At 38.2% G+C, this 25958-nt stretch overlaps 1 long non-coding RNA gene across 4 annotated transcripts in view, besides 1 other annotated feature; it reads right to left on the bottom strand.

Annotated features, from left to right (window-relative positions):
- The window catches only part of LOC102724861 (uncharacterized), a 168179-nt gene extending 160692 nt beyond the window's left edge, over positions 1–7487 (bottom strand). For all 4 annotated transcript variants that reach the window (NR_187737.1, NR_187736.1, NR_187735.1 and 1 more), the window contains exon 1: positions 7282–7487. This is a non-coding gene — a long non-coding RNA (uncharacterized LOC102724861). The remainder of the gene's footprint in view (positions 1–7281) is intronic.
- Positions 24372–25571: an enhancer, noted in NCBI's record as "BRD4-independent group 4 enhancer chr2:216392847-216394046 (GRCh37/hg19 assembly coordinates)". NCBI's record gives its function as "activates an origin of replication core promoter dependent on BRD2, P300/CBP, MED14 and CDK7 cofactors, and independent of BRD4, by STARR-seq in HCT116 cells {active_cell/tissue: HCT116}" and the evidence as "EXISTENCE:reporter gene assay evidence [ECO:0000049][PMID:35650434]".

Below are 25958 nucleotides of genomic sequence, written 5' to 3'. Positions count from 1 at the left end.
CCTAGTAGCTAGGATTACAGGCACCTGCCACCATGCCTAATTTTTGTATTTTTAGTAGAGACGAGGTTTCACCATGTTGGTCACACTGGTCTCGAATTCCTGACCTCATTTGATCCACCCGTCATGGCGTCCCAAAGTGCTGGGATTACAGGGGTGAGCCACCATGCCCGGCCAATTTATACATTAAAATAATATATCATGCTAATATTCTACATCTGGCCTTCCCAATGATATACAACATATTTTTGAAGTTGCAAAAACTATGTGGGGTGGCATTATTGGGGTTCTAGCAGTTACAGAGTTGGGTAGAGGAAGGTAGAGTCAAGGGAAATAAAAGCAATCAAAGACAATATTTGTCAGTAGCTACCAACAATCTCCAGGGGTCTATTTGTACAGTCACCTCCCACTGCACCTCCATGGGTTCTAGGGTACAGCAGGCTTCTCAAATAGGGCTTCATGAAGCCAGTCACTGCAAAGGAAGTTCCATGGGGAGACGGGGGCTAACAATATTGAATAAAATACCAACATTTTGGAAAATACATTTAGGAATGGCCTTGATTCATAAAATTAGAGAAACCACATACTGCATATTTATTATTTTTAAGTCTATCCCAGAGGGGAATCAAATCAAAGAGGACTTGTTTTTATTAAATAAAATCCTAGAATTTGCTGCTAATCAAGGCCTATAAAAACAGTCACAGGATTGGAGGTTCAACTTAAACAACTTCTTTTTCTGTTTTTGCATTTGCTTTACCAAGCACTTGCATTTCGAACCTCTCAAACAGATCAAATCAAAAAGAGGATTTTAAAAATTAGCTCTCCTTCTTCACACTTTTTACAGAAAGCACAGTTATAATTACTTTTCCAAAGTGGATTTGGTGCTGAATATACTGAGGGTATAAGGACCATATTGCTGAAATTTTTATAAACAGAATGTTAAGTAGATACTGTGTAGTAATCAATTAAAAGCTAAATTTCAGGTGGAAAGAAGGTAATTGGCCTCTTCAAAATATTAAATCATTTCAATGACTGTTTAAATTAAAGATCTGGGCTGTGAATTCAGAAAGCCAAATATCTGCATATTTAACATCATGTGGATTTAACACTTTAAAGTTAACACGCATTTCATTTTTCATTTAGAAGTATATCATCCTCTATGCAACACCCTCCTCAGATGCCTAACCAGTGTTCTATTCTTCTTCTTGGAGTTAGCTAATTACTAGACTTTGAGCATTGGAATATTTCTGTGCTACAATCTTTTCATCCATAAAACAGTTATCTCTGCTCCCTATTTTATATGATAAATAGTAAACGTTACACATTGCTTTGAACTGTTCAAATGGAAACGATTTCCTAAATACATGATTGTTATCATAGAACATCAGAACAAAGAGGCACAATCAGTCAAGGTCCTGTTGGTGTTTGTAGACCATTCATCCAACTTCACCTTTGTGCTCTGGTTTTTTCTCTACATGCGTCCTCTGTATCCATGGGGGACTGGTTCTAGGATCCCCATGGATACCAAAATCCACAGGTGCTCAATTTCCTTATATAAAATGGCAAAGTATTTGCATGTAACCTACACACATCTTCTCATATACTTTAAATAATCTCTAGATTACTTATAATACCTAATAGGATATAAATGCTATGTAAACCATTGTTATACTGTATTGTTTAGGGAATAATGACAAAGAAAAAAGTCTATACATGTTCAGTACAGATACAACCATCCCTTCTTTTCCTGAATATTTTCAGTCCAAGATTGGTTGAATCCATAGACATAGAACCTGCATACACGAAGGGCAGACTCTGTATTATTTCTAAACATTCTGGGACAAAAAATTATTGTTCTTTATATTTACATTTATATTTATATATTTCTTTTCTAAGGATGCTAGAATATGATACTGGAAGGATGTGGGTGGGCAAGCTTGGAGGAGTTCAGACCAGGTTAAATAATTCTGCATTTAAAAGGAAGAGATCAAGAACTATGGTAAAAAGCTAAAAAGATTTACAAAGCCATGACTGGCAAGGGACAAAGAGGAGAAAGAAGATTTTGGAAAAACATGGGCAGTTTGGGAACAAAATACAGAGGAGAATGAAATATAAGCACCTCCTATTATTTTCCATACAAATATTGAGTGAAATCATCCTGCTAAAATGGTAGGGTCAGAGTGGAGTCTTCATAGTGAATGTGAGGATGTGTTGAGTTGGTACCCTGGTCAAAACAGATGATGCACAGAGGGACTGCTACATATGAACTACGGTATAACACGTCTGAAACCAAGTATTGACCTGGTGTCATACAGGAAGGATCTAGTTCTCAGAAAGGCTAAGTGATGTTCTCAAGGTCACTTTGATAAAACAGTAGAGTTGGGATTTGAATCAAAGTCTCTCTAACTTCAAGGTCCATGTCCTCAGCTGATTATTCCTCACATACTGAGAGGCACTGTCCTCTAGACTGAGCACTTAAGGCTAACTCATATTCTGCTTCCCAAATCCTAATAGTACCCAGCACATGGGCAGTGTTGATTAAAGCATCTGTCACTGGTTGTAGGTGCACTGATTATGGCTGCACTAGACTGTGAACTCCCTGAGGGCAGGCTGCCTGCTCTTCTGCTTTTTACATTTTTAATTATTATGGATACATAACAGTCGTACCTATTTATGGGGTACATGTGATGTTTTGATACAAGCATACAGTGTGTGATGATCAAATCAGTGTAATTGGGGTATCCATCACCTCAAGCATGTACCATTCCTTTGCATTAGGGGCAGTCTAATTCTACTCCTTTAGTTATTTTGAAATGTACAATAAATTATTGTTAACTACAGTTGCCCTATTGTGCTGCCACACACTAGATCTTATTCTTTCTCTCTAACAGCATCTTTGTATACCCATTAACCATCTCCTCTTTATTCCATTCTCCCCACTATCCTTTCCAGCCTCTGGTAACCATCATTCTACTCTCTATCTCCATGAGTTCAATTTTTGTTTTAGCTCCCACATATGGGTGAGAACATGTGATATTTGTCTTCGTGTGCCTGGCTTATTTCATTTAACACACTGTCCTCCAGTTCCATTCATGTTGTCACAAAGAACAGGATTTCCTTCTTTTTACAGCTAATATTCCATTATGTATATGTACTAAAATTTTCTTTATGCATTCATCTATTGATGGACACTTAGGGTGATTCCAAATCTTGGCTATCGTGCATAGGGCTGCAATAAATGGAGGAGTGTAGATATCTCTTTGATATGCTGATTTCCTTTCTTTTGGATACATGCCCAACAGTGGGATTGCTGGATCATATGATAGCTGTGTTTTCAGTGTTTTTGAGGAAACTCTACATTGTTCTTTATAGTGGCTGTACTAATTTACACTTCTACCAACAGTGTATAAGTTTTTCCCTTTCTCCCCAGGCCTCACCAGCATCTGCTATTGCCTATCTTTTTGATAACAGCCATTTAACTGGAGTGAGATGATATCTCATTGTAGTTTTGATTTGCATTTCTCTAATGATTAGTGACGTTGAGTATATTTTATATACCTGTTGACTATTTGCATGTCTTCTTTTGAGAAGTCTCTATTCAGATATTTTGCCCATTTTTAATTGGATTATTTGGGTTTTTCCTATTGAGTTGTTTGAGCTCCTTATATATTCTTGTCAGAGGTGTTCGAACCACAGCAACTCCATCTTGAGTGGGGGCTAGGACAAGGAGGCTGGGATTTGCTGGGCTGCATTCCCAGAAAGAAAGGTATTCCTGGCCTCTAGATGTTTATGGTTAAGGGAACAGATTGATAATGTTTACTAAAGAGACCCAGTCGTGGGAATGTCCTAATATCCCGATATCTTGAGAACAAAGACATTCCTAATTTTGCTTTAAAGGTAATAATATTGATTCTTGCAAAATATAGTAATTACGAAAATTAATCCTTTATCACAAACTCTTACAGCACAATACATCTCCCCATAATCTTTTTTTTATCCTGTATATAAACAAGCATTATACCTAGGGTGGACGCATTCCTCCTCTTGCTTTCGGGAATGCCTTACTCTGTCTATGGAGTAGCTGTGCTTTCACCACTTTACTTTCTTAATAAACTTGCTTTTGCTTCATTCTGTGGACTCGCCCTGAATTCTTTCTTGCATGAGATCCAAGAACCCCCTCTTGGTGTCTGGATCAGGACACCTTTCCTGTAACATTCTGAATATTAGTCTCTTGTCATGCAGGTAGTTTGCGAATATTTTCTCCCATGCTGTGGGTTGTCTCTTTGCTTTGTTGATTGTTTCCTTTGCTGTGTAGAAACTTTTTAGCTTGATGGAATCCCATTGTCCAGCTTTTGCTTTGGTTGCCTGTGCTTTGTGAGGTCTTACTCAAGAAATCTTTGCCCAGACCAGTGTTCTAGAGTGTTTCCCCCGTGTTTTCTTCTAGTAGTTTCATAGTTTCCAGGCTTACATTTAAGTCTAATCTTTCCACTGCATTCCCAGCAGCTAGCCCAGGACCTGAGATGCCAAGACAATGTTTAAAGAATGAGTTGTTGGATCATCAGTATCTAGCCTATAAAGTCTTCTAATTCTTAAATCACTTTTTGTAATCTTCATGAAAATTGCACCTCTAGATCAAGATGTGAGCTTTTGCTGGAGGCCTCACGGACTCTAACACTGGGCTCTTTCATTTGACTGCATGATTCATTTTAAAGAAAATGTTTCTGATTTCAGCCTGTGGTTTAGAGCCTTACATGTTATCTTATCACAGATGTGTAGAACATAGATACCATTTCCAGCATTCTGCAACACAGCAGGGCATGAGTAGCATACTGGCAAATGGGCTTGCCTAGGAGGAAGGCATGTAATGGAACGCTGCAGAATTTAAATTTAAGAGCTAGTTTTGTTTACCCTTGCAGAGTTCATGAGATGCATGCTGTCATATTGATTCCTCCACTCTCATATTACTGTGTACACTTACCAAAGATGTAATTTCATAATTATTTGTGTGATGCAAGGATGAATGTCTGTATCCCCCTACAAGACCATCAGCTGCCTGACTAAGCTGTTATTGGTTGGCTGTTCTGCTCACCATTGTATCCCTATGGCCTAGCATGGGTTTAAGTGATCAATAAATATTGTTGAACGAATGAAATGAATGTCTACATTCCAAAGTGGGCAGGGTCTCTTTCGGAGAAGAGCATGAAAGCAGAAATTTTTAACTTTGCTCCACAAATAGTCCTACACCATCAGAATCAGAATCACTTAGGTTGCTTGATAAACAACATAGTCTTGGGCTCTGAATCAGAGCCTTTAGGGAGTGTGGCCCAGCAATCTACCCTTTTAACACATACTCCAGGGGACTCTTAAGCACGCTAGAATTTGAAAACCCACTGCTACCCAGTTCTTTTATTTAATAGCATTTATGCTTCAAGGGAAGTGTACATTTTAAATCTGCAACTTAGAGTCCCAAATGTTATTTGGTGCCCACAATTCGAAGGCAAACGCCGTCGGAGAAAGACAAGACTTCACTCAACGCTGAATGCATTGTAGACTTGATTTCACAGTGTGTTACTTCTATTCATCTATTTTACTTTAAGATAGCATGAGTTCTAAGAAAAAGCTATGCTTGAGATTCTAGAATTCTCAGTCTTTGGGGACAGACATGGAATTTGTCTCATCATTCACGCAGCACCTGGGACGAATTGTTTAGTGCCAAGTGTGTATGTTTGATGTGAAAAGCACACCTCTAATTAATCATTGCGTTCCCAGCTGGAACACTTTCCCCAGAATTGCTGCAAGCATGACTGAAGGACCATTCTCACCTGTTTTCTAGGCACATCAGATTCATTTAAATGGCCTACTAATTTTGTCTCTGAGCTTCTTTTTCTAATTTGGTGCATTTGTTTATTTTTGTCAGATTGTGAACTAGATACTTCATAATCAGTTAGCTGTAATAGGCAAAATGTTGACTCGTTTTGTTAGACATCTGGAGAGGGGGAAAGTGTTTCATTTATTGAATTTGAATTACGAAAGATGGGGGTTTTAAAAAAAAAAAACCATATTGCTTACAATTTGTGCTCCCAAAAATGCTGGTTATTAGCCAAACCAAGTCAAGTAACACCTTGTTCCCACTTGCTAGCAGTGAATTTCCAGCACGGACGGCTTTATAGAAAGTAAATTCAATGCAGTATTCCATTCCCATTTACTTGTTTTGCTATATTTCAACAGCATGTCTGTTTTTGTTTTGTTTTTTTGAAAAGGTTGTTTTCATCCATCATACTTTCCCTCATTTAAAGGCTAAAACAATTTTTACCTTCCCAAATCTTAAATGAAGCAATTGATTCCGATTGCATAGGAGAACTCTTTACATTTTAATGAATTCTTTATCTTAGAGTAACATGTTGTGTTACATATTTCAAAAGCAGTGGCAAAAAGTGAACCTCAAAGCCACATTCATCCAAATGTCTATTGTACTTAGAGAAGGCTTAAACGTTACTGTTTATCTCCACATTAAAAAAAAATACAGTATAACCTTTTGTAAAATTTATAGTTTTGAACTATGTCTTACCAATATCTGTCAAGCCCACTGGAATTTTCTAAAAGTCTCCCTTGAGGAAACGATTCTGAGGACTCTCACAAGAGCTTTCTTTGTAGGAGACGCAGCCTTGATGGAACGGTGTACTTTTCTAGCCCCACGAATGCTTGGAATGAGAAAATCTCCTTTTTCCAAAAGTATATACATAGAATGGGTGCCATTCTTAGTTAACACTTTTCTGAAAGTGTGGACAGAGTCTTAGTTATATTAGCACATCTCTGCCTCCCAATCAGGTGTGAAACTTGGCAAAAGGAGCTTTACAAGTATGAAGATCGCTGTCACAGCTAAATTACCAAGTACTGCTTGGTAGTCATTATCTAAAACCAAGAAAATGCCTTTAGGTGGTTTGTTAATTCAGCTTAGAGAGAATGAAATGATTGAGTCAAATGTCACTTCTTTTCTAATACAACAAAGGAAAAGTACTTAGAATTTGTGTTACAATAAGAAAACGGAAAGGCCCTTACAACTATCAAAATGCTTATTCAAAGGTAAGAACACGACCTTAACATGTTGAGATGATAACAGACGCAAACTAGCACTTCACTGCTGTATACAAACCCAGAATGAACCAACAAGTTCATCATATTGTCATCGACAGGCAATACGACGTATACGCTAGCATTTTACCATCCACCACCTCCCCCCTCCCCGCCCCGCAAAAACAAAACAAAACAAAAAAAACCTCTTACCCTGTTCTCTGGCCCAATCTTCATTCTTGGTGGCAACTTGCTAGACCAGAGGTTCTCAAAATGTGAGCCCTGTACTAGCGGCATCAGCAGCTCCTGAAAACTTGTTAGAAATATAAAATTTCAGGTCCTACTGCAGACCTACTGAACCAGAAATTCTGGAGTAAAGCTCAGCAGCTTGTGTTTCATCAAGACCGCCAGGTGATTCTGATATTTGCTAAAGTTGAAGAACGACAGTGCTCGACAGTACTGCATGTATTGCTCTCACCTGAATAACAATTTGCTTCATTTGCATTTAGGATTTTCTCATTCTGTAAGTAGCATCGCGGGCGGGGCCCACTCCCCAGGTCATCTAGAGGGGCTCACAGTCCAATCGCTTTTGGATCTTAAAGGTTGCAAAATGTAAACATTCTGTTTCTCTCTACTTCCTTTGTTTCTGCGCAAGATTTTGATGACATGTAGGTACTTTGCTGAGCTCAAAGACTCCACACATTCCGTATTTCATAACTAGCCCTGATAATAATTGCCCTCCTCCAATTCAAAATAATTTTATTATCTTCTTTTCAGTAACAAATTCATTGATTAACATTCCTATTATGGTCTCTAAACTTTCTCTTATTACACCTCCCATTGATTTCATTAACTAATTATTTACAACAATGGTTCTCAATTTAGGCATCATACTGTAATCACCTAGAGGAGCTTTTTTTTTTCTTTTTTTTTGAGACGGAGTCTCGCTCCGTCGCCCAGGCTGGAGTGCAGTGGCGCGATCTCGGCTCACTGCAAGCTCCGCCTCCCGGGTTCACGCCATTCTCCTGCCTCAGCCTCCCGAGTAGCTGGGACTACAGGCGCCCGCCATCTTGCCCGGCTAATTTTTTTGTATTTTTAGTAGAGACAGGGTTTCACCGTGTTATCTAGAATGGTCTCGATCTCCTGACCTCGTGATCCGCCTGCCTCGGCCTCCCAAAGTGCTGGGATTACAGGCGTGAGCCACCGCGCCCAGCCTAGGAGCTTTTCTTTTTAAAGTCCAATGACTGAAAGGTACGCCAGAGTAACTAAATACAAATGTCTGGAGATGGAATCCGGGCATCGGTATTTTTTTTTTTCTCATTTAGAGCTCCTAAGTGATTGCAATGTGTAGTCAGGGTTCAGAACATCTATATGTGTGTGTGTGTGTGTGTGTACGCATCTTATTTTAACATCTTTATTAAGTTTGGGAATTCAGTTGAAGATCTGGTTACATAAACACCTGTGCATCAAATACTCTTTAATCCACTGAACACGTAAAAAAATTATATACTCGTTCAGGCAAAGAAAATGACTAAACAAAATGTTTCTTTTCTTGGAATTGAATATTGACAAAAGTTGACGATGCTTTATCTTGATGATGGTGGCTTGCTGAACATATGATTTTTTTTAGTAAAGGTCAGTATTAAAAGAGGAGAAATAAAAACATGTTAATAGAAACACAATTTTATAGTCTCATATATTTGCAACTTGTTTCTGATACAGATTAGCTTCAAAGGAGGGTCTCCGAAAGCTGAGTGCTATCGTGTAAAAGTTCCTTCCGAAGAATGTAAAAGAAAGCAGAGAGTAATCAGCTTATATGAGAATAGTTTCTCAAACTTGAAATAGAAAGCAACAGTTGTTCATCTGAGGTTGACATTATCTACTTTCCAACACTTCTACTGAGGCTTCTGTCGCATTTAAGATGCATTTTTAAAATACATAATAAAAAAAGAGCTTTCCTTCTTACTAATGCATTTACACTGCATAAAATCATGGGTAATCATGCCCAGAGGAACTGAAATACATAAATACAGAAGCTCTTCAACCTTAATCACACCATGCAGAGAATAACAGGCAAACAGAAGTAAAGTTATGTTTTCCACAGAAAAGCAAATCTGACTCCCGTGGATTTATATTGGGAAACTGATACATTCAAAAGAAATAAGGGAACACAAAACATTTTTATAGAATTACAATATGTGTGCTTATCAAGCATACAGGATACACTTATGATTATATAACCTGTTTGTGGTACAAAGATGAAATATTAAGAATCCCAGAGTCACTCGCTTTACACTTTAATTTCATTGTCTAGTTAGGGGTCAGCGAGCATTTTCTGTAGAAAAGGCAGAAAGGCAGATGGTAAACATTTTCTGCTCTGTAGATCATACAATCTTTTTTAATACTAGATAACTCTGCCATTGTGGCACAAAAGCAGCCACAGGTAATACCTAAACAGATGAGTGAGGTTGTGTTCTAATAAAAAACATTTTTATTAGTACAGAAAACAGTAGCTGGCCAGAGTTGGCTCACATGAGAGTATTCACTGACCCTTGGCCTAGAGCATCATTTCTATGAATGACCACAACTCACATGCCTTAGAAGTGCTTGCCTCTACCCTCCCTTACATGTTGATGTGGCCTAGAGCTCTGTCAGCAGCCCTTGATTCTTCACACACCATGCCTTCTTCCAGTAATCTCATCTATGTGAGCATGTATGCTGATGACTCTAAATCATGCTCTCTACAAACAGTCTCTTCAGAGCTGGGCTATTTGCCTATAGGTGCACACATAGAGCCAAATGCCTCCTCTATACACCCACTGAGATGCTCTATAGGCAACTTAAACTGGGCACTAAAACAAACCACTCTCTTTCCCATAATGCCTACTCCTCCTTTTGGACTTCCTGTGTAAAGAATGACACTCCCATCCACCTAGTGATCCATGCTGGAGACCTGGGGATTGGAGGCAACCCATATGCCAATCACTAGGTTAAATATGGCACTACTATACTGTGGACTACTACACAGCCTCAAAAGCCATGAATGACAGCTACATGCAACATGGATAGATCTCAAAAACACTGTGTTGAGTGCAAAAAGTAAGAAACTGAACACATTCTATGATGTAATACTATTTGTGTAATTTAAAATGCATCATAAAAACAACACTGCATTTTTTTTTCAAAAACATATAAGGATACTGATTTATAAACCAAACACACTAAAGTAGGGGCCTTCGGAGTAAAAGAGGAACAATGGAGTAGAGATTAGGAAAAAAAGAAAAACGGTAATACCAACAAAATAAGGGAAGAAAGTTGACAGATTGTTGACAACAGTAAGCCATCATGATTAACTCAACTCTGCATGTAAAAGAAAAAAAATCTTTAAGTAGAAAAGCTGTAGTATAGGCTGCAAATCATATGTGCCATCAAAATAGGTAAAGTGAATGACTACATTACTGATGTTATAATGTTTAAAAAGTTGAATAAAGTTGAGCTTATATAATAATACAACTTTAACTGCTTTGATCTTAATGATATTTTTCAGTTACATAACATAAACCTGTTCATCACATTAATAACTAAATTATTTTACCACAAATAAAATTTTCTAGAGTTTACCAAAATGGCCTGGTGTCATCCAGCTTCATGATGTGAATGTCTTTAGATCTACTACTCTAAGGAGCTGCCCAGATGAGGTAGGAAATGTCAAAAAACAGCACCACATGAGACAATGCATTATTCAACCAGACAGACACCATGACATCATTGCATAAGATTTTTTTCAGATCTATCACATAAAAGTTTATAAGCAGAAACTAAAGAGGGTTGTCAACTTTAATTTAGAAAATTGCTGCATGATCAAAATATAGATGTGTTGGACCAAAACATTATTAGAAAAAAAAGCAGATATATTACTTTTATTTTGCACAAGGATAATTCAAAGTAAAAATACTGCCAGTCATTAAGGGGAGCATACGCTAACTGAGGAATGATTAAACTGGCCAGTCTCTAATGTGTATCTTGGTGAAATTTTTGTACACTCTGTTAAATAACGCAAACCCTTGAAAACTACAGTTTGGTACTAAGGCTTTCTGATTAAAGCTGAATATATTGGTTGTGAGAAGAAGCCACAACTTTTATCGATTCAAACATGAAAAACAGGAATGGGTTTTGTTTTATTTTATTTGACTTTAGAAATATGGTATGGGCCTTTTAGTTGGTTTCTCAACTTTTGACTTCTTTTCTTTTGGTTCCAGTGGTATCATTTAGAGAGAGCCCTGAAAGGTAGATTTTTCCCCTAGCCCTTCAAAATCACTTTAATTCTATTTCTGTCGAACCAATAAGTATATGCAAACCCAACATCAGGACCATTCTTGGGAAGAACTAAATGTGAACAAAGGTCACTTCAGGGCCTCTATACCCGCACTCCTTTCTTATTCTCTTCTTGACTCTCTGGTCCCACCCAACTGCCACACAAGGTCCTCATGTTCAGTGATATGGTTTGGCTATGTCCCCACCCAAATCTCACCTTGAATTGTAATAATCCCCACGTGTCTAGGGCAGGGCCAGGTAGAGATAATCAAATCACGGGGGTGGTTTCCCCCATACTGTTCTCGTGGTAGTGAATAAGTCGCACAAGATCTGATGGATTAAAAATGTGAGTTCGCCTGTGTAACCTCTGTGGCCTGCCACCATGTAAGATATGTCTTTGCTTCTCCTTTGCCTTCCACCATGATTGTGAGGTCTCCCTAGCCAGGTGGAACTGGGGAGTCCATTAAACCTCTCTCCTTTATAAATTACCCAGTCTTGGGTATGTATTTATTTTCTGTGTGAGAACAGACTAATATATTCAGTTCCTCACTGCTGCCAGCTCTTTCCAAGCCTCTGTCCTTTCATTCAGAATACTCCTGTGTTTTGTATCAGGAGACAGTGTGTACAAAAGTGCTTTACAAACTACAAGTCACTTTAAAAGGACCTTTGCAGTTTGTGCAGCCTCAAGGAGGCTAAATCAGATACTTATTTTAAAATAACCAACAATTTAATATGAAGAGGTAAGCATGAATTAACATATTGATAATGGATAATGGTCTGGCCTTTTATTTCTAGATAAGTTGGCAGTGATGATAACGCGTCTTTATTACTTACCTTTCCCAGCCATGTCTGAATTTTCATGGAAGGCAGGATGCTCTAACCCTAAGAAATTTCAAGATGTCAAATGGTAAAATTCCAGAACCTGTGCAGGTATAAAGGATACTTTTGGCTGGGAGGGATGGAGGAGGGTGGAAATCATCCAGGAAACACCATCCAAGGTAGCCACATGCCACATGATGCTGGCTACCACTCGGCTCAGCCCAGGTTCTATAAATATTGGCCTGGCATTCGAGAAAAAGTCCAAAAATAAATGGTGACTATAGAAATTCTAATTTTGAGTGTGTTGACAAATTTCTTTGACTCTATATCCTATACTGAACAGTCAACACTTTCTTTTAAATCCCTGTCTTTCTTGTCAAACTTAGAATATGGGGCTTTGCTATTAGAAATAATCTTGGTAGATGCAAATGGTATTATAATGGCTATTTTAAGCAATCTGAACGTATATTTTACATCTTTTACTAGAATTTGCTACTGTTATTTCAGATATTTTGATTGTTGTTATTTAATAATGATTCTAAAAGTATTCATGTTTTGAAATCTCATTGGAAATGGCAAGCTATGAATGACTGGCCTTCATCCAGACTTTTGGAACAATCACATACTGACTCACTGGGGTCTTGTTACATCCAGTCTGGATTTCAAACTATATATTCAAGCCAATTTCTTCAATCTACAGTGTTATGTCACCATATTTGGGCAAGGACTGAAGTGGTTCTAATATAAGCTTCTAGAAAAGTGAAAAGTTGAAGCAAAATTTTTTTTTCTCTTTATACAAAGTTAAATCACCATGTTTTGGATGCCACACATGAAGTTAATTTTAATGTCCTCATCTATTAGAGTTAAGAGACTTAAAAAAAAAAACTGATGATGTTAAAATCTGTATGTTGCCTTCCCCCAACCCCGTCCCTCATTGATGTTCTTAGCAGAAGTGACCCAAGATCTACACTGGATCTTAGGTGAAGATGGGCATCCTTTTGCTTATATTGAGTTAATGGTGGAAATAATTCTATCTCTATTTGGATACCCTATTAATATCTGAGTCCTAACTCTTAGGATAGACATATAGGCTCAACGTTAAATTGGCTCTTTCAGGAAACACATGAGGCACAGAAGTTGAGTACCTTTATGCCCATGGCTTAGGAATATACTCCCTGAACCTCCTCTGATATGACTTTAGTATCAGATTTTTCTTTGTCAATTATGTGACAAATATTTACTGAGTCCCTTCTATGTGCCAGGTACTCAAATGGGTGTTGGAGATACAGTGGAAAACAGATAAGTATCATCCCTGCCTTCATGGAGCTTATAGTGTAGTGACAGAGACTAACATTAAACATTAAAGAAATAATTACATAAATATGTACTTAATATTAAATAAACAAATAATTACATAAATATCTATTTAATTACAATTACAAAATGGTTATAAAAGTAGGGGAAATGCCCCGTCTCTACTAAAAAATACAAAAAATTAGCCAGGCATGGTGGCGGGCACCTGTAGTCCCAGCTACTCGGGAGGCTGAGGCAGGAGAATGGCGTGAACCCGGGAGGCGGAGCTTGCAGTGAGCCGAGATCTCACCACTGCACTCCAGCCTGGGCGACAGAGGGAGACTCCGTCTCAAAAAAAAAAAGAAAAAAAAAAAAGAGGGGAAATAAAATACTAGTAGAGTGCATAGAAGAGGAATGTAGTTTGATTTGGGGGATCAGGAAAGAAATTAAGTTTTAACTGAAGGCCATTGGGTGGTAAGTGATGGGAAAATGGGAAAGTGGTGCTGGCAATGTTGGCAAGTGTCAGATATTAAGGGCTTCACAGATGAGGTTCAGGATTTGGATCTTTATCTCAAGACCAATTTAGAAACAATGAAGGGCTTTAAGGAGGAGGCATGACCAGATTGTTATTTTGTGATCACTCGGGCCACTATGTAAGAGAATAAACTTGAAGGAGCCAAAGACGACGCAGGAGACCAGTAAATATGTTAATGCAATAGACCAGACAGAAGATAAAGGTGGCTGGGACTCAGGGATGATAAAGAGAAGTGGGTGGTGTGAAGTATATTTATTCATAGAACTTATTTGGGGGTGGAGAGGAGGTAAGTGAGAAGAAAGCACAAAGATGACTCTGGCTCCCAAGTTTATGAAATAAGCAACAGCATGAAAAGAGTTCTCTTTCTTCAACTTTGATGGGAGCTTGGTTGAAGGGGAATAGGGAAAGTTAATTCTGATGTTAAATGTTTGCATTTTGAAACATCTTAAACAGTGAGAAGAGAGGTAGGAAGCCTAGGCTTCAAAATGGTGGGTGAGGAATTCACAAGAAACTCTGGGCTAGGGAGTTCCATTTGGGAGTCACTCATTTGAGCATTTTAGACCTATGCCATGGAATTAAAGTGCTAATTTTGTCTTCCACTGTCCCACCAAAATATATTCGGTGAGTGAAGTTCTCCATCTGTAGATGAAAACATGGACCACAACCATCGTAAGATATCTTTGTGCTTTTCTAGACATAAAAGATGTTTGCAACTGACTCTTCTTTGGGTACTTTCATGGATTCTTTCAAGAGCGCTCATTACTGGGAGCTTCCTATCCCTGAATTGTCACTTCCTTCTTCAGGTGTCAGCACAGTTGGGTTCTAGTGAGGACTTGTCTTCCTTGCTGGATGATTGCTTTCTCTCTGGGTCCTCACATGACAGCATGACAGAGAGAGAGAGAAAGAGAGATTTCTCTTCTTTACAAGACCACAGTCCTGTTGAATTAAGGGCCCACTCTTATGACTTCATTTAACCTTGCATCCTACAGACCCTGTCTCCAGCTACACTAGGAATTAGGGCTTCGACATATTAATTTGGGGGGAACACCAATTCAGACCACAGCAATGGGAAACACTCATACAGCCATTTCCTAAACAAACTAATGACCATCTCTCCTTTACTCCTGACAGCGGAGCAGCCACTGGCCCTTCATTAAATTTCCAAGAGAATTCAGACACCTGACTATTGTATCCCCCAATTCACATATGCACAGCAAAAATTTATTTAATGCAAAATTATACAATGATTTTCAGCCACAACAATAATATTGTACAAGTAAATACAAATAAAGTATCATTTTTACTAATCTATTAACAATAATTTTAAAAAGTTAAAAATATCTGTTGTTGATGAGGTTATGCAGAAAGATGCATTTTTGGAACTTTTTGAGGACCTGTAAATTGATACAACTTTTTATAAAGCAATTAGGTGATATTTATGAAAATATTGAATTGACATACCTTTCGCCCAGTTCTCAGAATTTAACCTCTAGTAATACTTTTTCATAAGAAAGTCCTTGCTGCTTTACTATTACTTGTAATAGGAAAGAAAGACAGACAGAGGAGGGAGGGAGGGAAGGAAGGAAGGTAGAAGGAAGGAAGGAAGGAAGGAAGGAAGGAAGGAAGGAAGGAAGGAAGGGGAAAAGGAAATCATTTATGGCAATCAGAATTCTGACAGGAAACAACTCAGTTCAAGTTAATAAAGTGACTAATTTATGAGATGCTAACATGGATAAGGTGGTGGTGTTCTGGTGCACAATTCTTCCCATCGTTACATTTGGTGACCTCAAGTTGGTATCCTGAAATCAGAAACTGCAAAAGTATTTATACCCACAGAAATTGCCAAATCCTAAACATTTACTGGTTATAGGACTTTGTAAGAGACAGTAAGTCATGCAGATTAGCAACAGCTGGAAGCCATCACCACCTCTAGGCAAAGAAAGGAACTATGTTAACAGAACCAGAATGGAGGCATGGTGAAGGAATTATATTTAGAACAGCTCCGTCACTTCCAGAAAATGCAGCTCAGTGAGGAAGGAAATGGAAGAAATATCATGACCTCTTTCCCCCAACCCCAAATCCGCCATGCTTTCTATTGGCTAAACCCGACCAGAGGCCAAGGTTCAGCATCCTAGAGCATAAAGAACTATAGATTAAAGCAGAGAATAAGCTGTGAAGCAGGCAAGCAGACAATAACCAGCATGTTATTCAATATCCATCAAGAAGGAATGAGTTATACACATTGTAGGACATTCATTAAAATGAATTATCGTGCATATATGAAAATGAATGATGCAGATCTGTGCAGGTTTCTTTGTATCATTATTAAATGATAAAAAGTAAGTAAAGAGTAAGTTACAGAAAAGTATGAGTTTTTAATTCTATTTTTGTAAAAACTATATAAATACATATACTTTTTTTCAGAAGCCAAACAAAATATTTAGAAAAATATACATGCCAAACTCTCTTTTTTTTTTTTTCTTTTGAGATGGAGTTTTGCCTTGTTGCCCACGCTGGAGTGCAGTGGTGCGATCTTGGCTCACCACAACCTCTGCCTCCCGGGTTCAAGCTATTTTCCTGCCTCAGCCTCCCGAGTAGCTGGCATTACAGGCATGCGCCACCATGCCCGGCTAATTTTGTATTTTTAGTAGAGACGGGGTTTCTCCATGTTGGTCAGGCCGGTCTCAAACTCCCAACCTCAGGTGATCTGCCCACCTCGGCCTCCCAAAGTGCTGGAATTACAGACCTGAGCCACTGCTTCCAGCCCTTGCCAAACTCTTAAAGTGATTACTTTTAGAGCATGGGATTGATCAAAGAGGACTTGCACTTTCTACTTTCGATTTCTAATTGTTTGAATTTATAAACATCTATTTATAACTTTTTAAAACAACAAAGCAGTCTGTGTCTGTTTTTTCCTCTCAAAGCATAATGACACTAGGATTGGCAATGCTTTCATATGTGTCATCTAAAAGGAAGAATTATTTTTTCCCCTTCAGCTATGTCCCCTGAGGATTCTTCTAATTGTTCTGTGGAATGTGGAGATGTCTGTGCATTACGTGACTATCTGAAAATCAGCGATTTCAGGTAGTCATTGAGGGAATTATCAACTGAGGGGTGTGCATCAATTCACGTAAAGACATTCTATAGGACTCGAGAGCAAATTTTTGGTGAAGTGGCAGAGGTGTTTTTAGCACTGTACCTACAATTAAAGCATCATGAACTGTAGGAATAGGTTTTAAATTCTCAAGCTCCACTATAGGTTTTTATGTATTGCCTTTGTTTCTATTTAGCCAAAATAGAGAAATACGATGATAATTATTGAAATTTCAATAACCCATCCCCAGTATTTTTGGGTAATGTGTTTAGAAAATAAAGCATTTTGAAAAATGATTCCCACAACACAAAATTATTTTACCAACTAAAACTAATAAAGCTTTTATTCCTGATATTGAGTGCATATAAATCATTCCAGTTAGGGCCCTTTTTTGGCAAAGTTAGATTTTTTTCTATAGACAAGAAGGGCCATGTAATGTTTATTAGATATATGAACAAAAATAATCAGTGTTTTCAAAGCCAACAATGCTTCTGAACTTGAATATATTTAGATTTCTGAGACGGCTGAATTATAACCAACATGGAAAAGAAAACATCACTAAACATTCTTTTGACCAAAATACACACTCCACCCTTCAGCCACTTCCTCATGCAAGCATGTGGACATAAATGTTTATTTGCCTGACCTTGTCTGCTTGTTAACTAGTCATCATAGCTAATTAGAGGACTCCAGGTCTAGTTTGCCCACACTTATCAATGAAACATTGTTAACAGATTCTAGGAGCAGCTATGATAATTTTATCATCACCCCATCATAAGTAAACATCATGAAAATGAAATATTTTCCTCTAGAGATTTATTACTGAAATGTCACATAATGCAAAGCAACTATCGAATGCATCTACTGGATAAGTCAGGTCAAATGAAAAATAACAACTACTATTAACATTAACAGAAACTGAACAAAAATGTTGCTTAAAAAGAGTATAAAATCCCTCATTTTTTCTAATTTAAAATTTTAAATCTTCGTGAAATACATATAACATTTACTATCTTAACCATTTTTAAGTGTACAGTTCTGTAGCATTAAGTACATTCATATTGTTGTGCAATCATCATCACCATCCATCTCCAGGATTCTTTTCATCTTGTAAAACTGCAATAACTCTTCATTCCTCTCTCCATGTAGTCCCTGGCAACCACATTCTACTTCCTATCTCTGTAATCTTTGTCTCCTCTAGGTACCTCATATAAGTGGAAACACACAGTATTTTTCTTTTTGATGACTGGCTTATTTTACACACATTTTGCATATCCTTTCGTCTAGTCTATGGACACTTCGGTTGCTTCCATCTTTTAGCTATTTTGGATAATGTTTGTTCTCACACTGCTATAAAGAACTACCTGAGACTGAGTAATTTATAAAGAAAAGAGGTTTACTTGACTCATAGTTCTGCAGGCTGCACAGGAAGCATAGTTGGAGAAGCCTCAGGAAACTTACAATCATGGTGGAAGAGTGAAGGGGAAGCAAGCACCTTCTTCACATGCAGGGCAGGAGGAAGAGACAGAGCAAAGGGGAAGCGCTGCACACTTTAAAACAACCAGATCTCATGAGAACTCACTCACTATCACAAGAACAGCAAGGGGGAAATCTACCCTCATGAGCCAATCACCTCCCATCAGATTCCTCCCCCAACACCTGGGATTACAATTCAACATGAGATTTGAGAGGAAATACAGAGCCAAACCATATCATTCAGCCCTTGGCCTCTCCCAAATCTCATGTCCTCCTCACATTTCAAAACCAGTCATGCCTTTCCAATAGTCCCCCAAAGTCTTAACTTATTCCAAAAAGTCCAAGTCCAAAATCTCATCTGAAACAAGGTAAGTCCCTTCTGCCTATGAGTCTGTAAAACTAAAAACAAGTTAGTTATTTCCAAGATACAATGGGGGTAAAAACAGTGGGTAAATGCTCCCATTCCACAAGGGAGAAATTGGCCAAAACAAAGAGGCTACAGGCACCATGCCAGTCCGAAACCCAGCAGGGAAGTTATTAATCCTTAAAGATCCAAAATCATCTCCTTTGACTCTATGTCTCACATCCAAGCCACACTGATGCAAGCAAGGAGTGGACTTCCAGGGCCTTGGGCAGCTCTGCCCCTGTGGCTCTGCAGGGTACAGCCCCCAAGGCTGCTTTCACAGGCTGATGTTGAGTGCCTGCAGCTTTTCCAGGTGCACAGTGCAAACTGTTGGTGGATCTACCATTCTGGGGTCTGAAGGATGGTAGCCCTCTTCTCATAGCTACACTAGACAGTGCCTCAGTTAGAACTCTGTGTGGGGGCTTCAAACCCACATTTCCCCTCTGCATTGCGCTAGTAGAGGTTCTCCATGAGCGCTCTGCCCCTGCATCAGACTTCTGCCTGAACATCCAAGTGTTTCTATACATCCTCTTAAGTGTAGGCAGAGGCTCGCAAACCTCAACTCTTGCCTTCTGTGCACCTGCGAGCTCAACACCACATGGAAGCCACCAAGGCTTGGGGCTTGCATGCACTGAAGGAATGGCCCAAGTTGTACCTTCACCCCTTTTAGCCATGGCTGGAGCTGGAGTGGCTGGGATGCAGGGTGCCATGTCCTGAGGCTGCATAAAGTAGCAGGGCCCTGGCCCTGGCTCACAAAACCATTTTTCCCTCCTAGGCCTCCAGGCTTGTGATGGGAGGGGCTGCGGTGAAGGTCTCTGAAGTGCCCTGGAGGGTTTTTTCCCCATTGTCTTGGCTATTAACATTCAGCTCCTCTTTACTTATGCAAATTTCTGCAACCAGCTTGAATTTCTCCCCAGAAAATATTTTTTTCTTTTCTGCCACATAGTCAGGCTACAGATTTTTAAAACATTTATGCTCTGCTTCTCTTTAAAATATTCTCTTTGCTTATGCAAATGAGCATAGGCTTTTAGAAGCAGCCAGGTCATTTCTTGAATGATTTTCTGCTTAGAAATTTCTTCCACCAGGTACCCTAAATCATCTCCCTCAAGTTCAAAGTTCCAAAGATCCTGAGCAGGGGTACAATGCTTCCAGTCTCTTTCCTAATGCATAGCAAGAGTGACCTTGGCTCCAGTTCCCAAGAAGTTTCTCATCTCCATCTGAGACCACCTCAGCCTGGACTTCATTGTCCATATTACTATCAGCATTTTAGTCAAAACCATTCAAGTCTCTAGGAAGTTCCAAACCTTCCCTCATCTTCCTGTCGTCTTCTTAACCTCCCAAACTTTTCCAACCTCTGCCCATTACCCAGTCCCAATGTCACTTTCACATTCTCAGATATCTTTATAGCAATGCCCCACTTCTCTGGTACCAATTTTCTGTATTGGTTTATTCTCATACTGCTATCAAAAACTACACGAGACTGGGTAGTATATGAAGAAAAGAGGTTTAATTGACTCACAGTTCCACAGGTTGTACAGGAAGCATAGCTGGGGAGGCTTCAGGAAACTTTCAATCATGGCAAAAGAGAGAAGGGAAAGCAAGCACCTTCTTCAAATAGTGGAGTGGGAGAAAGTGAGAGAGCAAAGGGGAAGTGCTACACACATGTAAACAACCAGATCTTGCAATAGCTCACTCACTATCAGGAGAACAGCAAGTGGGAAATCTGCTCCATATGATCTAATCATCTCCCACCAGGTCCCTCCCGCAACACTGGAGATTACAATTCAACATGAGATTTCAGTGGGGACACAGAGCCAAACCTATCACAAAATCTCTTCCAGAGATATTTCAAGATCCTGCTTTCAATTCCATTTTGAGATATTTCAATTGAATTTCAAGATATTTCAAGTCTCTGCTTTCAATTATTTGGGGTATATACCTAGAAGTAGAATTGATGAATCATATAGTAATTCCACTTTAAAATTTTTGAGGGACAACCATACTGTTTTCCATAGTGGACATGCCATTTTACATTCTCACCATCAGTGCAGAAGGGTTTCAGTTTCTCCACATCCTCACCAACACTTGTTATTTTTTGTTTTTGTTTTTACTTAACAATAGTTATCCTAAATATGAGGTGAGATGTCATTGTAGTTTTCATTTGCATTTTCCTAAAGATTAGTGAGTTTGAACATTTTTCACAGGCCTATTGGCCATTTGTATAACTTATTTGGAGAAGTGTCTTTTCAAGTCCTTTGCCACTTTTGAATCAGGGTGTTTATTGTGATTGTTGTAGAATTTTAGAATTCCCTATATATTCTGGATATTAATCCTTTATCACATATATAATAAAATTTCCCCATCTCATGCTAGTTAACAGTGACAATAAAAACATTAAATCATAAAAAAAGAGTGAGAGTGATTTCACCAGTCAAGTGACTCCTAAAAATTTCTAGTTTTACCTTAAAGTCAAATAGAATGCCAATACAAATGTCTCTTAAGGCCTGACATTAGTTAAGATATATTTGCTTATTGGAAGGTAAGGGAAAGGGCGATGTGAATGGGGAAAGGTGAGTGGCCACAGGAGGGCATATTTATGTAAAAATATTTTTTGAAAAACCTACACGCCACAGTTAAAAAATCTAGTAAGTGCTCAGGCTGATGGTTTTAATGTTCATAATAGATCCAAGAGATGCATTTGTGATATTTCCATCCTTATACCTCCTGGTAGAATTGCATGTTATCTACTTACTTAATATTTTAATATTCTAATCTAGGCTTTTTTCATGAATCATTATATTAAACCAGTGCTCTTAATAAAATTGTCAGGGCCTCTGTTTATAGAACCAAACTGGTGGGACTTACCAGAATCCACTAACCAAGAAAAGAAAACAGAAGTTCTTTTCTTTAAAATGAGGCAGTGGTATTTACAAAATGGCTTGAGAGCAGTGTTGTCAACCCCTGAAATTATTCTGGACTAGATTAAATGTTTTTGCAAGATATTCTTCAAGTAAAGAAAGAGATAAGGGTCATTTCTTTGAGTGATAGGGAAGTTCGTCTAACAACATAACTTGTCAAGGAATAATTCTCACTCTAAATATTTTTCACACAGAATGGTGACTCACAGATCTGGGATCGGGGAAAAGGAAAAAATTGTGAGAAACTAAACAGACGTCACCTTTTTCATATTTTTGAGCTTGACTGGTAAGCCTGACACATTTTCCTAGCTGGGTAGTTGATTCCATGAAAGACACCTTTGTTTTATGAATCTAAAGGGGAGAGGAATGAAATGCCTATCTTATCTCTTCGTGAAGGGAATAATAACTACTATATCTAAAAATATGAATCGCCTCAAAATATCTCTATGACTTTCACAAGAAAATGCATATTTAGAATTGTCATCTTTTTTCTTAAAGCTCAAGTTTCACACAATCATCTATGAAGGTTTGTACATATCCAAGTCATTTCTGTCTTTCCTGTTGCTAAGGCTGAAAAAGGCTATCTGGAGATTCTACTCCATTTCTCTTGAGACACAGTCCAAGATAGTAGTCCTTAGTTGATGGTGAAAACACACTGATTCCAAGTGACATATAGATAAGTGATGCTCTATTAGGCCCTAAAATTGATTTTTCCCAGTAAACTTAAGGCAGAAATGCATTTCTCACGATGCTGCACTTTCCCTACTTTTTTTCTGCAGTGCCGAGATAGGCATTCTGTCTTCACCCACTCCTGCAAGTTCACATTCGCACACTCAGTTTACCTCAACTCTATGCACCTCTAAGTCATCAATCAGATGGGCAACCAGAGAATTAACCTCTTGATTTTTAAAAACAAAGTTTGTTGAACCTAAATGTCCAACAAAAAGGATTTGTTTTAAAATCCTGGTACATTCTAACAATGCAGTGCCTTTCAGTCATTTAAAATAATGCTGAGTGGACTATTTAATGATGTGGAAATATGGAAAAAGGTCCATAAACTATTGTGAAGTGGGGGGAAAGGCAGTTATCAAATGGTGTGCATAGAAAGTAATTATATAAATATAAATACACACAAAGTTACAAATGTCTGGAATGTTTTAGCAAATTAATGGTGACTTTTCTCTTGCATAAATAGATTTTTACTTATTTCAGCTCTACATGTACTTATTTTCTCATTTAGGAATCAAGATTTCACATGGCACCTCGAGGACAGGATTATTAATAGCCTTTGTGTCAGCCTGATGGTAAAGCTTTCTCTTTGAATCCTTTGTATAGTTGCTTTTCCTTCAGAAAGACCATCCCATTTACTCATCATGTGGTGAGTAAGCATAAGCAATCAAAATACAAGTACTATAAATATTGTAATTAGAGCCTCATCCTCTCGGTTAGACCCTCCCTAGCAAACACACCTCTCCCTAGCAAACACATTGTTTATATATTACTTTGATATTCAGAAAGAATTGGAACTGTGTCTGTAACCAGAATCTCCAAGGAGAACTAAGATGTACTGAGCACCTAACGTAATACATTCCTAGTGTTTTATATGTAGGATTGGTGATCGCAGATTTTAAGTTATGTGCCCAAGGTCACTTGGCTAAGTGACGAAATGCAGATTCAAATCCAAATCTGATTAATTGCAAAATTCTATGCCTTTCCCCCAGCAGAGAGTAAAGTCTCTAAAATATTTCTTGAGTACCTACTTTATGTCAGGCACTACCTATATAGATTCATTTGTTCCTTAAGATAACCTTGATAGGTAGTTATTGTTATCCTCAATTTACAAATGGGGAAACTGGTGTTCAGAGTGTTTAAACAATTTTTCCAAGATTACACTAGTGCTGCAAGCTGTACTCAGATTCATCTACAGTCAGGTTACACATAAGGACATTTGAATCTATGGTGGACCACAAATATGATGGTGGTCTTGCATGATTATAATGAAGCTGTCTTATGTACCACTTGTTAATCTTTTATGCCATATTTTTACTGCACCTTTTCTATGTTTAGATACACAAATACTTACCATTATGTTACAATTGCCCACAGTATTCAGTACAGTAACATACTATGCACGCTTGTAGCCTAGGAGCAATACGCTATACCATGTAGCCTAGGTGTGTAGTAGGCTATACCATCTAGATTTATGTAAGCACACATTACAATGTTTGCATAGTGATAAAGTCACCTAACAACACATAACTTGGAACATAGCCCCGTTGTTAAGCAACTCCTGACTGTATTTCAAAACTGAGCTTTTCCTACTACACCACTGTATTAGTTTGCTAGAGTTGCCATAACAAAATACCACAGACAGGGTGTTTAAACAATAGAAATTATTTTCACAGTTCTGGAGGCTGGCAGCCCAAGATCAAGGTGCAGGCAGGTTTAATTTCTCCCAAGCCCCGCTGCCTTCACTTGCAGGTGGCCACACTCTCACTGCGTCCTCACCTGGCCTTTTCTCTGTGTCCATGCATCCCTGGTGTCTCTTCGTGTATCCAAATTCTCTCTTCTAATGAGGACAGCAGTTAGATTTGATTTGTGCCCACCATACAACAACTACCCTACAAAGTCATGATACAGATCTTTTACAGACTTTCTTCAGTTCAGGTTTTTACCTGTTTCAAGGACTGTAAGCTTCTCAATCTATATGTGTGCATAATTCCAACATGTTTTCCACACTACATGTAAAAGTTTAGAAATACATTGCAGAAAAGATAGGAGGACTAGAATACTTAGCAGCAGAGTGTACAACTGTGTAGAAAAGGAATTAATTACACCCATCTTTCTTATGGTTTATGGTTTATTGTTCAGGCTTCTGAAGACAATGTAGAAACACAAGGGCTGAGCCTGGCCCTGTATTTCATAAAACTCAGTCAAGCCCCAGGGTTAGGTGGGGGTGATGCCTTAGGGATGTTTATGGTCCCCAGACATACCACCTCCTCACATCCTGTGGAGGGAAATATGGCTGAATGAGTCAGCGGCTAAGCTGGGAATTGCCACAGGACTTCTGGAATGGTATGTTCAACATGGAAAAATGAGAACAATCCCCCACGATCATTTTCACCCTGAATCAGTATTGATTCTAAAGATGATTCATTCAAGATAAAGCCAAATCCTCCACCTACATAATTTTTGAGCCATTAGAAAGAAAGAAAAAAAAAAACCACTTATATATAAAAATATATATACTTTTAGGGCATTTCTCTTTTCATACTTTTGGCAAATATAGAAAGAATGCAAGAACTTTGACTCAAATGTTGTAGATAATAGAAATGGATAGATTAGATGGATAGACACATACATACACAGACACACACAAATATCACAAAACATGGTAAAAATCTAGTCAATAATCAAGGCATTCAGATAGTATAGACACACAATTAAGAAATTTTCTTTGAAATCTAAACTATCTACACTGGTGAACTTCATAAGACATTTTTTCATTCTGTTTTCCTTTTTTCAGTGTAGACTTGATCTAAGCTATCAATTACTAACAGCCTTCTAAAATCAAGAAGAATGTCAACAAAATTATGTAGCTAACAAAAAGATTAGCGTGTTTTTTGTGTGTTTTTGTCCTAATGGTCTAAATTGTTTTACTAAACTGGTTTGTTGTAGAATATTTATTAATACAATAAAAATTAATCCAAAAGGTTTGGAAAAGATTTCAGGAAACAAGCCCAACTTGAAGCAATGTGGCTAGATAACCCAAATAGTTGATGTCATTCTTCACCCTTTATTTAAGAAAAGCTTTCTTTGGTTAAGTATGTAACCTCATGCCAACACATCATTATTTTCAGTCATGCACTGATCTAGTTTCCAATGTAGACACGGCAGCTGCTTTCTTTCTGTGGAACCAGGGACATACTGGGAGGGTTTTAGCTTTGGTTCATTCACACATTTCAGAGTCCCCACATTCTCCTGTATATGTGTTTTGGGGTTTTGGGTTTTTTTGTTTTGTTTTGTTTTCCTTTTTGT

Source organism: Homo sapiens, chromosome 2 (genome assembly GCF_000001405.40).
Source record: "Homo sapiens chromosome 2, GRCh38.p14 Primary Assembly".
Classification (NCBI taxonomy): Eukaryota; Metazoa; Chordata; class Mammalia; order Primates; family Hominidae; genus Homo; species Homo sapiens.
The sequence above is the reverse complement of the archived record's forward strand: the minus strand, read 5'-3'. Positions and strand labels throughout refer to the sequence as shown.